At 49.0% G+C, this 16,325-nt stretch overlaps 1 protein-coding gene across 1 annotated transcript in view, besides 2 other annotated features; it reads right to left on the bottom strand.

Moving 5' to 3' along the window:
* The window catches only part of PSKH1 (protein serine kinase H1), a 36,423-nt gene extending 24,486 nt beyond the window's left edge, over window positions 1-11,937 (bottom strand). Inside the window, exon 1 of the mRNA NM_006742.3 lies at window positions 11,820-11,937. The gene's annotated coding sequence lies outside the window, so the exon portion shown is untranslated. The remainder of the gene's footprint in view (window positions 1-11,819) is intronic.
* Window positions 11,691-11,810: a silencer, noted in NCBI's record as "silent region_7632". NCBI's record gives its function as "represses an Ori minimal core promoter by ATAC-STARR-seq in GM12878 lymphoblastoid cells {active_cell/tissue: GM12878}" and the evidence as "EXISTENCE:reporter gene assay evidence [ECO:0000049][PMID:35858748]".
* Window positions 12,141-12,200: a silencer, noted in NCBI's record as "silent region_7631". NCBI's record gives its function as "represses an Ori minimal core promoter by ATAC-STARR-seq in GM12878 lymphoblastoid cells {active_cell/tissue: GM12878}" and the evidence as "EXISTENCE:reporter gene assay evidence [ECO:0000049][PMID:35858748]".

Below are 16,325 nucleotides of genomic sequence, written 5' to 3'. Positions count from 1 at the left end.
GTGTTTAGAGAGAAGGATGAGGTTGACCTGAAGGAGGGTCAAAGTGGATTAAAAGGGCCAGTAAGAGCTGGGCACAGTGGCTCATGCCTGTAATCCCAGCACTTTGGGAGGCCGAGGCGGGTGGATCATGAGGTCAGGAGATCGAGACCATCCTGGCTAACACAGTGAAACCCCGTCTCCACTAAAAATACAAAAAATTAGCCGGACGTGGTGGTGGGTGCCTGTAGTCTCAGCTACTCGGGAGGCTGAGGCAGGAGAATGGCGTGAATGCGGGAGGCAGAGGTTGCAGTGAGCAGACATCACGCCACTGCACTCTAGCCTGGGCGACAGAGCGAGACTTTGTCTCAAAAAAAAAAAAAAAAAAAAAAATTAAAAAAGGACCAGTAAGAGTGTGGTGTCCCATTGGCCAGGTGTGGCCATCCCAGCACCGGGAGTAATCCCAGCTCTTTGGGAGGCTGAGGTGGGGGGATAGCTTGAGTGCAGGAGTTTGAGACTAGCCTGGACAACACAGTGAGACCCTGTCCCTACAAGATTAAAAAATTAGCTGGGTAGGCCAGGCACGGCAGCTCACGCCTGTAATCCTAGCACTTTGGGAGGCTGAGGCAGGCGAATCACCTGAGGTAGGGAGTTTGAGACCAGCCTGACCAACATGGAGAAACCCTGTCTCTACTAAAAATACAAAAATTAGGCGGGGCGCGGTGGCTCATGCCTGTAATCCCAGCACTATGGGAGGCCGAGGTGGGCGGATCACAAGGTCAGGAGTTCGAGACCAGTCTGGCCAATATGGTAAAACCCCATCTCTACCAAAAAAATACAAAAATATTAGTCGGGCGTGGTGGCGCATGCCTGTAATCCCAGCTACTCAGGAGGCTGAGGCAGAATTACTTGGACCCAGGAGGCAGAGGTTGCAGCGAGCCACCAAGATCGCGCCACTGCACTCCAGCCTGGGTGACAGAGTGAGACTCAGTCTCAAAAAATATATAAAAAATACAAATACAAATACAAAAATTAGCCAGGCATTGTGGCAGGCGCCTGTAATCTCAGCTAATCTGGAGGCTGAGGCAGGAGAATTGTTTGAACCTGGGAGGCATAGGTTGCAGTGAGCCAAGATCATGCCACTGCATTCCAGCCTGGGCAACAGAGCAAGACTCCGTCTCAAAAAAAAAAAAAAAAATCAGCTGGGTATGATGGTATGCACCTGTAGTCCCAGTTACTTTGGAGGCCAAGGCAGGAGGACTGCTTGAGCCCAAGAGATCAAGGCTGCAGTGAGCGATAATCACACCACTACACTCCAGCCTGGGTGACAGAGAAAGACCCTGTTTCAAAAAGGAAAAAAAAAAAAAAAAAAAAGAGTGTAGTGCCCCAAGCAGTGGAGTGGAATCGAGAGCTATCAGCAGCAGAACTTCCATGTTGGGTGGAAGGAAGAATGAGGACAGCACCCCGTCCCTTGCACAGCTCAGCGGCAAGTGGTCAGGAGTGTAGCAAGAAGCACAGATTTGGGAAGCAGTGGAAAGAGTTCAGTTTTGGATGTGTGGGGTGCATGTAGACCATCCATGTGACATTTACTGTGGGTTACTAGATACAGAATCTGATGTCTGGGGAGGCTGAGACAGGAGAATCGCTTAAACCTGGGAGGCGGAGGTTGCAGTGAGCTGAGACTGTGCCACTGCACTCCAGCCTGGGCAAAAGAGCAAGACTCCATCTCAAAAAGAGAGAGAGAGGAAAAAATGAGGTTTATCTATGGGGCATAGTGGCTCATGCCTGTAATCCCAGCACTTTGGGAGGCCAAGGCGTGAGGACTACTTGAGTCCAGGAGTTCAAGACCAGCCTGGGCAACACAGAAAGACCCTATCTCTGCCAAACATTTTTTAAATTGAGTCAGACATGGTGGCATGTGCCTGTGATCCCAGCTACTTAGGAGGCTAGGGTGGGAGGATCTGCTTCAGTCCAAGAGGTTGAGGTTGCAGTGAGCGGTGATGGTACCACTATATTCCAGCCTGGGAGACAGAAATCCTGTCTGAAAAACAAAGCAAAACCAAACCAAACCAAAAAAAAATATTGTTTATTTTTCTTCACATAAGAGGAAAAGATTCCTCCACAAGGCTCTTCAGGATTTGCAGCTGTTCTCACCCAAATGCACAGGAAGTTCCACATGGCAACTAGGAAATAATGTTAAACAAAGGCATTTAGAACCAAGGTTCCTTTTCGCAGAGGCCACAGGATAGAACTACGGACTGTGGAATTTTGCAGACTTATTTCTTCTTTCAGGGAAAACACAACACCTCATGCAGTGAAGGACTGAAGCTCCTCTTGGGCTGGTATTCCTGAGGCAGAACACAGGTCCCTCACCCCGATGCCCACGACCACTCAGTAACAACATCTACCACCATTCGGAGGCAAGACAAACTGCATGAGTAACCCAGCACAGCCACTCAGATGTCACTTCTTCCTGGTGAAGAAGCAGAACCCTAGATTCACAAAATAAACAGTCATCTACAGGCACATGTACTGGGTATTTTTGTTTAAATTTTTGTTTAAATGAGGACCTAGTCTGGTCCTCAGGGAAAAACCTAAGGTTTATAAAAGAAAAGGCCTGGCTGGGCGCAGTGGCTCAGGCCTGTAATCCCAGCACTTTGGGAGGCTGAGGTGGGCGGATCACAAGGTCAAGAGTTTGAGACCAGCCTGACCAACATGGGTGAAACCCCGTCTCTACTAAAAATACAAAAATTAGCCCCGGACGTGATGGCACGCGCCTGTAATCCCAGCTGCTCAGGAGGCTGAGGTAGGAGAATCGCTTGAACCAGGGAGGCTGCAGTGAGCCGAGATCGCACCACTGTACTCCAGCCTGGGTGAGAGATCGAGACTGTCTCAAAAAAACAAAAAACAAAAGGTCTAACTTTTCGATTCATTTTTATTTCTTTTTTTTTTTTTGAGATGGAGTCTCGCTTTATCACCTAAGTTGGCGTGCAGTGGCACGATCTCAGCTCACTGCAACCTCCACTTCCCAGGTTCAAACAATTCTCGTGCCTCAGCCTCCCAAGTAGCTGGGACTACAGGCATGTGCCACCATGCTTGGTTAATTTTTGTATTTTTAGTAGAGACAGGGTTACAACACATTGGCCAGACTGGTCTTAAACTCCTGGCCTCAAGTGATCCGCCCACCTCCGCCTCCTAAAGTGTTGGAATTACAGGTGTGAGCCACTGCACCCGGCCTCACTTTTCACTTTAAACAAATAAAACCTACAGGGATCAAAGGTAAGTCAGCATCAGGGCGCAGTGGTTTACACTGTGATCCTAGCACTCTGGGAGGCCAAGGTGGGAGGATTACTTGAGCCCTGGAGTCTGAGACCAGCCAGGGCAATGTAGTGAGACCTCCATCTCTACAAAAAATTAGTCAGGCGTGGTGGCATGCACCTGTAGTCCCAGATACTCAGGAAGCTGAGGTGGAGGATAGCTTGAGCCAGGGAAGTCGAGGCTGCAGTGTGCTGTGTTTGTGCTATGGCACTCCAGCCTGGGCAACAGAGCAAGACCATGTCTCCAAAAAAAAAAAAAAAAATAGGCTGGGCATGGTGGCTCACGCCTGTAATCCTAGCACTTTGGGAGGCCAAGGCAGGTGGATTGCCTGAGCTCAGGAGTTTGAGCCAGCCTGGGCAACACGGTGAAACCCCGTCTCTACTAAAATACAAAAAAAATTAGCCAGGCGTGGTGGCATGAGCCTGCAGTCGCAGCTACTCAGGAGGCTGAGGCAGGAGAATTGCTTGAACCCAGGAGGCGGAGGTTGCAGTGAGCTGAGATCGCGCCACTGCACTCCAGCCTGGGCGATAGAGCGAAACTCCGTCTCTTAAAGAAAGAAAGAAAACAAAATAAAGTCAGTCGGCAATAAGAGAGTCAATGATTTTCCCTCTGATCTTCCTTCTGTCTTCCTGAGACATAGTTTCTCTCACATTGATTCCAATCAGAAACTCTGTAAAGATAGGCTGATGCGGGTACTCCACCATCCCAACTACAGATTGAAACTGGAGGATATTAGACCAAATTGGCCAAGAGAGGGGAAAAAAAAAAGAAAGTAGAGAAGAGAGGGTGCTGGCTGAGAGGTGGGGACAATGGGCAACAGCCCCCAGGTGATCACAGCTGCTCCACAGTCCCATCACATCTGTTAAACTCCCTCTCCACACTGTGGTCAGGTGAAAATGCAGACTCTATAACACGGGAGGTGGCTGGTAAAGCTCCTAGGAAGAAGAGCAGAGCCTTTTCCTGTTCCCAGCATCTCTTGTGTGTGCCCCTAGCCCAGAGATCACGGTAGGTGTAGGGATGGGCAAGGATGAGTAAGGAAGCTTCAGGAAGAGACTTCCCAGGAGTGTCACAGTATGTCATCTTGCAGAAAGTACCCAACTCTCTAGAGTCTGCCTCCAAAACTTAAACTCCCAGCCTGGTCCAAAGCACTCTTCAAAGAAGGCACGCACATTGGACAGAGTGTGGCAATGGGTATGAGCATTCAGCATTATCGTCCTCACTGACAATCTACAGAAATGACAGTCCAGGAGAGGTAAAGAGACTCGTCCAAAGCCACTCAGACGGTGGTGACCAAATATCCTGGACCCAAATATCCTAGTTCCCCATCTGGGGCTCCTTCTATCACTCCGGAAAGACTCCAGCAGTGCTGGGCCTCATCCAGTCAAGGCCTTGATCCTTCCCCATGCCACTGAGTTGGTGAACCCACAAAGCTTTCCTGAGGATCTTTCCTGAAGGGTCTGCTTTAGAAACCTCCATTCCAACTATAATCTGAGTCACACTGCTCACTGCTCTACTCCAGACTGCCTTTGATCACTACAGCTGTCAGACCCTTGAGGGAAGGGGCCATTCTCAGGTTTCCAGAACTCCCTTGGTACTTATCAAATTGCTGAACTCAGAGCAAATGAAATGTGGTCTGGCCGGGCGCAGTGGCTCACGCCTATAATCACAGCATTTTGGGAGGCCAAGGCAGGTGGATCACCTGAGGTAAGGAGTACAAGATCAGCCTGGCCAACATGGTGAAACCCATCTCTACTAAAAATACAAAAAAATTTCCTGGGCATGGTAGTGGGCACCTGTAATCCCAGCTACTCAGAAGCTGAGGCAGGAGAATCATTTGACCCTGGGAAGCAGAGGTTGCAGTAGGCTGAGATCATGCCACTGCACTCCAGCCTAAGCGACAGGGCAGCACTCCGTCTCAAGAAAATAAAAAGAAAGAAAAAGAAAAACAGGCAGGGCACAGTGGCTCATGCCTGGAATCCTAGCACTTTGGGAGGCCGAGGCAGGTGGATCACTTGAGGTCATGAGTTTGAAACCACCTGTCCAACATGGTGAAACCCCATCTCTACTAAAAATACAAAAAAATTAGCCAAGTGTGGTGGTGGACACCTGGAATCCCAGCTACTTGGGAGGCTGAGGCTGGAAAATCGCTTGAACCTGAGAGGCAGAGGTTGCAGTGAGCCGAGATCACGCCACTGCACTCCAGCCTGGGCAACAGAGCAGGACTCCATCTCAAAAAAATAAATAAATAAATAAAAGAAATGTGGGCTGGCACAGTGGCTCATGCCTGTAATCCCGGCATTTTGGGAGGCCAAGGCGGGCCGATCACGAGGACAGGAGATTGAGACCATCCTGGCTAACATGGTGAAACCCGGTCTCTACTAAAAATACAAAAAATTAGCCCGGTGTGGTGGCAGGCGCCTGTAGTCCCAGCTACTCAGGAGGCTGAGGCAGGAGAATGGCGTGAACCCGGGAGAAGGAGCTTGCAGTGAGCCGAGATTGCGCCACTGCACTCCAGCCTGGGCCATAGAGCGAGACTCGTCTCCAAAAAAAAAAAAAAAAAAAAAATGTGGTCTGGCTCTTGGATTTCTATTTGCTGCAAGTCAACAATTCTAGAACCTTAGAAATGTTGAAGAGGCAAGATCGGTGGTTAAACCATAGCCACACTCTTTGGACACCCTGTAAATATCCTCAACAATGAAGGAAGTCTGTTTGAGTTTTACAGATTCTTATCTGAATGCCAAAGTAAGTTTGTTCACAAGCTGCCAAACCTAGCCCCATTTCTGGGGAAAGCTAGGGGTCCCGGGGCAGGGAGCAAGGATGAATCCTGAAACAATTTCCTATCCATAGAGGCAGGGTCTGTGAATGTCTTCCAGGCAAGGAACCATAGGAACCTTGCCCTCTCCAAGCAAAGCTTTATAACCTGTCACCTGCAAATATCTCTATATTCTACTGACATGTTTTGAAAAACTGTCTACCGGCTGGGCGCAGCGGCTCACACCTGTAATCCCAGCACTTTGGGAGGCTGAGGCAGGCGGATCACGAGGTCAGGAGTTCAAGACCAGCCTGGCCAAGATGGTGAAACCCTGTCTCTACTCAAAATACAAAAATTAGTTGGGTGTGGTGGCACATGCCTGTAATCCCAGCTACTCAGGAGGCTGAGGCAGGGAACTGCTTGAACCCGGAAGGCAGAGGTTGCAGTGAGCTGAGATCGCGCCACTGCACTCCAGCCTGGGCAACAGAGCGAGACTCCATCTCCAAAAAAAAAAAAAAAGAAAGAAAGAAAAAGAAAGAAAAACTGTCTACTAAAATGAAGTAGGTAGTAATTTCTCAATAATTACAGAAATAAGGCTGGACGCAGTGGCACACAACTATAATCCCAACACTCTGGGGGCCAGGGCAGGAGGATCACTTGAGGCCAAGAGTTTGAAACCAGGCTGGGCAACATAACAAGACCTTGTCTCTACAAAAAAAAAAAAGTTTTTTCTTTTTTTTGAGACAGGGTCTCACTCTGTCACCCAGGCTGGAGCGCAGTGGCGCAATCTCGGCTCGCTGCAGCCTCCTCCTCCCAGGTTCAAGCGGTTCTCGTGCCTCAGCCCCCGAGTACCTAGGATGCCTGGCTAATCTTTGTATTTTCAGTAGAGACAGGGTTTCACCATGTTGCCCAGGCTTGTTCTCGAACTCTTGAGCCCAAGTGATCTGCCTGTCTTGGCCTCTCTACAAAAAATGTTTAAAAAATTAGCTGGGTGTGGCTGGGCGCGGTGGCTTACGCCTGTAATCCCAGCACTTTGGGAGTCTGAGCCAGGTGGATCATGAGGTCAAGAGTTCAAGACCAGCCTGGCCAACACAGTGAAACCCCGTCTCTACTAAAAAATACAAAAAAAATTAGCCGGGCGTGGTAGCGTGCACCTGTAGTCCCAGCTACTCGGGAGGCTGAGGCAGGAGAATGGCATGAACCCGGAAGGCAGAGCTTGCAATGAGCCAAGATGGCGCCACTACACTCCAGCCTGGGCAACAAAGCAAGACTCCGTCTCAAAAAAACAAAATTAGCTGGGTGTGATGCTGTGTGCCTGTAGTCCCAGCCACTCAGGAGGCTGAGGTGGGAGAATCACTTGAGCACGGGAAGGCAAGGTTGCAGTGAGCTATGATTATGCCACTGCACTCCAGCCTGGGCAACAGAGTGAGACCTCGCCATCATCAGAAATACAGACCCTGGCAATGTACCTGGGGTTCTCCTTCCAAAATCCCAACGTTCAACCCAGAAATATTTACTGAATTCCTGCTGTGGGTCAGGAACTCTGCCAGAGATTGCGACAAACAAAAAGAAGGCGGCCATAGTCTCTAATCTTAAGGAACTTACAGCCTGGATGGCTCCACACCAAGAGTCCCTTGATACATGACTCTTAGGATGCCCTGAGAGGCCATTTCAAGGCTGGCAGCTTGGAAAGAAAACTTTCTCCCAGCAAATGAAAACATCACATGTTTCCACCTTAGCATCACATCAGACACCATGGCAACAGAGGGCTGTACCAAGAATTAGCTCAGTGATGACCTAGCCAACACAAACCGGCTTAATGCTCCTTGAGTAAGATTCCTGGAAGGAAAGGGAGTTCAAATAAATAAGTCTCTCTCCAGCTCTCAACAAGCAGAACTGCTTCCCTTCTTCCAGAGCTGTACTTTTTCTCAAAAATTTTTCCCCATGCCAAGATACACAGAGAGAATGATAGAATGATACTATTGTATAACACCCGGGAGTCAGTGGAGACAGCTGTTCTCAGCTATCCTGAAGCTTAAGGGTCGATACTTTGGCACACCTATAGCCCATTCACATCATACAGCTGAGAAGCTGTGAAGAGGACCTAAGTTGCCCATATTACACACTCACACTTCCAAAGTAAAACAGAAGGCCAAACCAAAGTCTCACTCATTTAACTATGAACTTGTGATTATGATAGAGAACTCCAGCACCTACTTCTGTAGGGGCATTCTGTTCTAGATGCCAACCAGATGCCTGAGGTGAAGTGCAACTGGAGCTCAGTGTCAGATGCAAACAGGTTTCCTGAAGGCTGCACTTTTTCTAGCTCATTTATGCAACTTAACAAGCACAAAACTACAATTAGACCTAGACAATATGCTTATTCAGCAAACCCACCCTCTAGTGAATCAGCATTCCAAATCTCTTCTAGGGGTATGGCCAACTGAATCGACCCTGATTTAGAGGCACCATATTGCGGGAGGCTGAGGCAGGAGAATCGCTTGAACCCGGGAGGCAGAGGTTGCGGTGAGCCAAGATTGAGCCATTGCACTCCAGCCTGGGCAACAAGAGCAAAACTCCGTCTCAAAAAAAAAAAAAAAAAAAAAAAAGAAGCACACTATTGTCAGTTTTCCCCGATGACCAGAAATGACCTTGAGGAAATCACACAATACAAAGCAGCTTCCTACACACAACTAACCCTGAAGAACAAACACGCTTATTAAGACAAGACCTTCTAGCCGGTTGTGGTGGCTCATGCTTGTAATCCCAGCACTTTGGGAGTCCGAGGTGAGTGGATCACCTGAGGTCAGGAGTTTGAGACCAGCCTGAGCAATACGGTGAAACCTCGTCTCTACTAAAAATACAAAAATTAGCCAGGTGTGGTGGCAGGCATCTGTAGTCCCAGCTACTGAGGAGGCTGAGACAGGAGAATTGCTTGAACCTGGGAGGCGGAGGTTGTAGTGAGCCGAGCTCACGCCATTGCACTCCAGCCTGGCGACAGAGCGAGACATCATCTCAAAAAAAAAAAGAAAAGAAAAAAGAAGACAAGACCTTCTTTTGACAAGGGAAACTCTGGGAAGAGGAGCCATTAGTAATAAAAGTGGCTTCCATTAACTGAGTGCCAACTTTGCTAAGGATCTTATATGTACCATCTCACTCCTCTCTACAAGCACATGTAGTAGGCACGATGATTCCTATTTTGGAATAAGGAAATTAGGACTTAGAGAACCTCAAGATTTCAGAAAAGCCAGAAACTGAATCCAGGTCTTTCTGACACCAAAGCCCATGCTTCTAGGCATGAGACCACAACAGGAGTCCACAAGGCAAGGCCTTCTCACTGGACAAAGGAGACAACAGTTTTCTTAGGCAATGACAAAGATCTTCAATGAGGAAGCACAGTAAAGTTACCTGGGAAGTTTTCTCAAAATACAGATACCTGGCCAGACATGGTGGCTCACGCCTGTAATCCCAGCACTTTGGGAGGCTGAGACGGGTGGATCACGAGGTCAAGAGTTCAAGACCAGCCTGGCCAACAGGATGAAATCCCGTCTCTACTAAGAATACAAAAATTAGCTGGGCGTGGTGATGCGTGATTGTAATCCCAGCTACTCGGGAGGCTGAGGCAGGAGAATCGCTTGAACCTGGGAGGCGGAGGTTGCAGTGAGCCGAGATCGCACCACTGCACTCCAGCCTGGGTGTCAGAGCAAGACTCCATCTCAGAAAAAAAAAAAAAATACAGATTCCTACCCCAGATCTTCTTCATCAAAATCTCAAAGAGTGGGTCAGGTGTGGTGGCTCTTGCCTGTAACCCTAAAACTTCGGGAGGCCAAGGTGGGAGGACTGCTTGAGCCCAGGAGTTCGACACCAGCCTCGGCAACATGGCGAGACCTCGTCTCTGTTTAAACAAAAAAAAAAAAATCTCAGCCAGGCATAGTGGCTTATGCCTGCAACCCTAGCACTTTGGGAGGCCGAGGCAGGTGGATCACCTGAGGTCAGGAGTTCGAGACCAGCCTGGCCAACACGGTGAAACACCATCTCTACTAAAAATACAAAATTAGCTGGGCATAGTGGTGCTTGCCTGTAACCCCAGCTACTCTGGGGGCTGAGGCAGGAGAATCACTTGAACCTGGGGGGTAGAGGTTGCAGTGAGCCAAGATCGCGCCATTGCTCCAGCCTGGGCAAAAAGAGCAAAACTCCGTCTCAAAAAAAAAAAAAAAAAAAAACTAACTCAGACAGTAAGGCTCTTGATTTTGTATCACAAAATTATCCCAGGAGATTTTGGACTATCCAGGATTAAGAGGCTGTACTACCTACCACACACATACGCTGGCATTTGCTGTGCTCATCTTAGATCCTAGCCCTGATAGGTGCTCAAAAATACAGTTGAATCTATCCATTCATAAGTCAGCATTCAGCAAATGCTACTGGAGGCTAGCCCCTATTTTATGCCAGGCACAGAGCCAGACATATGCAGACAGAAGACCACCATGTGACACAACAGGATGTACTCAATAGTAGCAGCATGGATATAGAGGAGTTAATGGTTACATGCCAAGCAAGGTAGATTTTTTTCCTAGGAAGTGACATCTCAGGTGGATTTTATAGGACAGATGTAAGTTTCCAACACTGGTAGGTGGTCGGTGGGGTGGAAGGCAGTGTATAGCAAACTGAGAAAACTGCGTTATCTAAAGCACAAGGGGACCAAGCACAGTGGCTCACGCTTGTATTAATAATCTCAATATGTTAGGAGCCTAGGCAGGAGGGTCTCTTGAAGCCAGCTCTGGCAACAAAGCCAGACTCCCTGGCTCTACAAAAAATTTTAAACTTAGCCAGGCGTGGAGGGGAGTGCCTCTTGTCTCAGCTACTCGGGAGGTTGAGGCGGGAGGATCATTTGAGTCCAGGAGTTCAAGGCTGCAGTGAGCTATGAATGAGCCATTGCACTCCAGCTTGGGCAATAGAGGCCTTGTCTCAAAATTAGTAATACTAAAACACAAAGGTATGAAACCAGAGCTAACAGGAGCGCCACACGTTTTAACAACAATAAACTACGTAAAGGGAGCACAGAAGTGCTCCGGTGTTGATTGGCTGGTTAAACCTTCACCAGATTACGAAGAGCCCTGAATGCCTTGCTAAGAAGTGCGGCCTTTGTCCTGAAGGCACTAAGGAACTAGTTTCAGGCAGTGAAGGACTTACTCAGATTTTCAGGTGGGAATTATCACTTCAGCCGCTTTATGGAGGGGGACTAAGTGTGGGGGACTAGGCTTCCCCTTGCAGGTAGAGGAATGACAAGCTTGCCAAGCAAGCAACCCAGCTGGACTCAGACCTGCTATTTCCCAGCCTGCACAAGGAAGCGATCAGCTGCCCCGCCGGCCCCTGGCAGACGCAAAGGAGGGGTGTGGAGTAGGCGCCGGGCGCGAGAAGGCAGTAAGGACAAGGACAACCAGGTTGGATCAACCTGACCCGCTCTGGACGCGGGGCGGCTGAACAGCAAGCAGGCAGGGCAACCGACCACGTCCACCAGGCCCAAGCGGGCCTGGAGACGGGCTATCCAGCACGACAGCACGTTCCGAGGCCAGTCCAGACTCGGACGCCGGGAACCCGAGCAGCCATCGCCCGGCCTGCTCTCCAACCCTGTAGGCCCTGGCGCACGGGGCACGGGCCGACGCTGCAGGCTGACCAGGGGCAGGCCCCGGAGCGCCAGAAAGCGACCACGACCACAGTTCGGCTGCCCCTCCCGCCCGTCGGGCCGTCGTCCTGGGCCGGGCCGCCTCACCTCGCGCGGGCGGCGGGCTCTTCGGCGTCTCGGCGGCTCTGCCGGCCATCTCCGGGCAATGGCAGCGGCCGCCGCCGCCGCCGCCGCCGCCGCCATTCTCGGGCGTTAGCGTCGTGGCGTCATCACAGCGCGCAGCTGACGCCAAAACAAGCCTACGGGGCGGGTCGGGGGCGGGTCGGGGGCGGACTCTCCCGAAACTGGGCTACGCGGCTGGCGGATCTCCGAGCGTGGCCTGCCAATCAACCTCTTCGGGGCGGGGACGGGCACTCTCCTGAAGGGGTGGGTCTATTTGTCGCTCAAAGTAACTTGACCGCTGCCTGCGAGACGGGTCGGTGATAGAAAAAGGAAGGATCGCGGGAAATAGGGAGAAAGTTTCAAGTTTCTGGTTGGGGGAAAGGGGACTCTGTAATGCGAGCTTGGGTAAACAATGCTTTCCAACAGAGGTTTCTGGAAGTGCCTCTGGAACTCCGCAAAGGATAGACTTAATTTTCATTAACAAAATCTATTTTTTAAAACTGCACTTAGAATAATTTCAACACTCCATGTGTTGAATTTGGCCTCCATCAAAGAAGAGATGCAAAGGGTTAATTTGTAGATAGGTGAAGTCAATCTTGGGCCAACTTCTGGACTCATGGTTATTTGTTGTTGTTAATTTAATTTATATGCCGAGTCTGAAAAGCAAGCGGATTTTTAAAAAATTGTTACCATTCACAATGACTTCTCTATAGGATCAGAACTGGTTCACTTTACAGTCAACCCAACTTGGAGGGGTTAAAATAGGTGCTGCAGATGGTAAGTGCATTGTAACCTCCATCCATCTTCCCCATTTCAGTAGCTCTGTATTCAAATCTTTATTGAGTATGTACTTTGCACATGGAACTGTCTTTGATTGACTGTATAAGCTAATGTTATACTTTAAACCTAAAAATAAATTAACACCAATAAAACATTGTCGTCGGCTGGGCGCCACTGCTCACACTTGTAATCCCAGCACTTTGGGAGGCCAAGGCAGGTGGATCACCTGAAGTCAGGAGTTTGAGACCAGTCTGACCAACAAGGTGAAACCCTGTCTCTACTAAAAATACAAAAATTAGCCAGGCTTGGTGGCAGGCTCCTGTAGTCCCAGCTACTCGGGAGGCTGAGACAGGAGAATAGCTACAACCTGGGAGACAGAGGTTGCAATGAGCTGAGATTGCACCACTGCACTCCAGCCTTGGCGATGGAGTGAGACTCCGTCTCAAAAAAAAAAAAAAAATTGTTGTCTATTTTATGTAGTAAGGTTTCTTTCTTTTCTTTTTTCCTGAGATGGAGTTTCGCTCTTGTTGTCAGGCTGGAGTGCAATGGCACAATCTCGGCTCACTGCAACCTCTGCCTCCCAAGTTCAAGCAATTCTCCTGCCTCAGCCTCCCCGAGTAGCTGGGATTACAGGCGCCTGCCACCATGCCCGGTTAATTTTCTTTATTTTTATTTTTATTTTTATTTTTATTTTTATTTTTATTTTTTTTGAGAAAGAGTCTCGCTTTGTCACCCAGGCTAGAGTGCAGTGGCGCAGTCTCGGCTCACTGCAAGCTCCGCCTCCTGGGTTCACGCCATTCTCCTGCCTCAGCCTCCCGAGTAGCTGGGACTATTGGCGCCCACCACTGTGCCCAGCTAATTTTTTGTATTTTTAGTAGAGACGGGGTTTCACCATGTTAGTCAGGATGGTCTCGATCTCCTGACCTCGTGATCCGCCCGCCTCGGCCTCCCAAAGTGCTGGGATTACAGGCGTGAGCCACCATGCCCAGCCGTAGTAAGGTTTCTTACAAGATTTCATTTAAAAAGAACAATGGTGGCCCAGCGCGGTGCCTCACGCGCCTGTAATCCCAGCACTTTGGGAGGCCCAGGTGAGCAGACCACCTGAGGTCAGGAGTTGGAGACCAGCCTGGCCAACATGGTGAAACCCCATTGCTACCAAAAATACAAAAATTAGCTAGGCGTGGTGGCAGGCGCCTGTAATCCCAGCTACTTGGGAGGCTGAGGCAGGAGAATTGCTTGAACCTGGGAGGCAGAGGTTGCAGTAAGCCGAGATCACGCCATTGCACTCCAGCCTGGGCGAGAAGAGTAAAACTCCATCTCAAAAAAAAAAAAAAGTTAAAAAATTGTTTCCAAAAGTCTAGTGCAATAATTAAGGGTATAGACTTTGGTGCCAAACATACCTGGGATCAAATCCCAGCTCTGACACTTCCAGAGCTGTTTGACTTTAAGCAAGACATCTGCCTCATCAGCCTCATTTTATTTTTTAAATTTTGGCCAGGTTGGTCTTGAATTCCTGACCTCAGGTGATCCACTGGCCTCAGCCTCCCAAAATCCTGGGATTACAGGCGTGAGCCACTGCACCTGGCCTTTTTAATTTTTTTAATAGAGACAGGGTCTTGCTCTGTCATCCAGGCTGGAGTGCATGGCAGCAATCAAAGCTCACTGTAACCTCGAACTCCTAGGCTCAAGGGATCCTCCTGCCTCTGGAACAGGAATTAAAAGAAATTAAAGAATGTGTAAGTAGAAACTCAGTTGTATGTAAGAAAACCCAATTCCCCCTGAGAAAGAGAAAGAGCTGGAGTTCTTTAAAAATTAACTGCCTGTTTTTCTGTGGCTAGGAAGCCTTATCTCTCCTCCTTTCCCAGGCATTGTGAAGACCCTGTTTCACTAGCTGTGCAGTTACAAGGTCACTAGACAGATAAACTCAAGTCGTAAAACATGCTTCTCCTTGAAAAGTAAGAAATGATGTAATGCGGCCGGGCACAGTGGCTCACGCCTGTAATCCCAGCACTTTGGGAGGCCGAGGCGGGCGGATCACGAGGTCAGGAGTTCGAGACCAGCCTGGCCAACATGGTGAAACCCTGTCTGTACTAAAAATACAAAAATTAGCTGGGTGTGGTGGCGCGTGCCTGTAATCCCAGCTACCCAGGAGGCTGAGGCAGGAGAACTGCTTGAACCGGGACCCGGGAGGCAGAGGTTGCAGTGAGCTGAGATCACGCCATTGCACTCCAGCCTGGGCAACAAGAGTGAAACTCTGTCTCAAAAAAAAAAAAAAAAAAAAGAAATGATGTAATGCATGTCTCAATTAATTTAATAACTGTCTTTGTTTCTTGCTTCTGTAATATGCTTCCCCCTGCACAGATCTCCCCCCACCCCACAAAATGCTTAAAAGGTAACTTAACTCTTTGTTCAGGGCTCAGTCCTTTGGATGTTAATCTGACTGGGCCGATGCACCTAAATAATTAATAAATATCCTCCTGAACCCCACTGGTCTCTCTGATTCCTTAAAATCCCGCTACACCTCGGCCTCCCAAATAGCTGAGTCTACAGGCATGCACCACCATGCCTGACTTGCTTATTTATTTATGTATTTTGAGACGGAGTTTCGCTCTTGTTTTCCAGGCTGGAGTGCAACTGCACGATCTCGGCTCACCGCAACCTCCGCCTCCTGGGTTCAAGCGATTCTCCTGCCTCAGCCTCCCAAAGTGCTGGGATTACAGGCATGAGCTATTGTGCCCGGCCTAATTTTGTATTTTTAGTAGAGACAGGGTTTCTTCATGTCGGTCAGGCTGGTCTCGAACTCTCAACCTCAGGTGATCCGCCAGCCTCGACCTCCCAAAGCACTGGGATTATAGGCCTGAGCCACCATGCCTGGCCTATTTATTTAGACAGGGCCTTAAGTTATCCTCCCACCTCAGCCTTCCAAGGTGCTGGGATTACAGGCATGGACCACTGCGCTGGGCCATAAGCCTCATTTTTATTTTTCTTTTTTTTTTTTTTTTTTTTTGAGATGGAGTTTCACTCTTGTTGCCCAGGCTAGAGTGCAATGGCATGATCTCAGCTCACTGCAACCTCTGCCTTCTGGGTTCAAGCAATTCTCCTGCCTCAGCCTCCTGAGTAGCTGAGATTACAGGCATGCACCACCACACCCAGCTAATTCTAATTTTTTGTATTTTTAGTAGAGACAGGGTTTCTCCATGTTGGTCAGGCTGGTCTCGAACTCCCAACCTCAGGTGATCCACCCGCCTCGGCCTCCCAAAGTGCAGGGGTTACAGGCATGAGCCACCATGCCCGGCCCATAAGCCTCATTTTTCTTAGCTATATAATGAGGATAGCTCTGTGCTTGTAATCTCAACACTTTGGGTGGCTGAGGGAGGAGGATCATTTAAGGTCAAGAGTTCGAGACCAGCCAGGGTGACATAATGAGACCCTGTCTCTGCAAAAATATAAAATTAGCTGGGTTTAGTAGCACAGACCTATAGTCCTAGCTACACAAGAGGCTGAGGCTAGAGAATCGCTTGAGCCCAGGAGGTCAAGGCTGCAGTGAGTCAGGACTGAGTTACTGCACTCCAGCCTGAGTGACAGAATGAGACCTTGTCTCAAAAAATAAAATAAAATATAAGGGGGGGTCATAATCCTGACCTTACAGAGTTGTTGTGAGGGTTAAAAGGAATATGAATTCCAGGGTTGATGGCACTCAGAAATCTACAC

This window comes from Homo sapiens, chromosome 16 (genome assembly GCF_000001405.40).
Source record: "Homo sapiens chromosome 16, GRCh38.p14 Primary Assembly".
NCBI classification, from domain to species: Eukaryota; Metazoa; Chordata; class Mammalia; order Primates; family Hominidae; genus Homo; species Homo sapiens.
The sequence above is the reverse complement of the archived record's forward strand: the minus strand, read 5'-3'. Positions and strand labels throughout refer to the sequence as shown.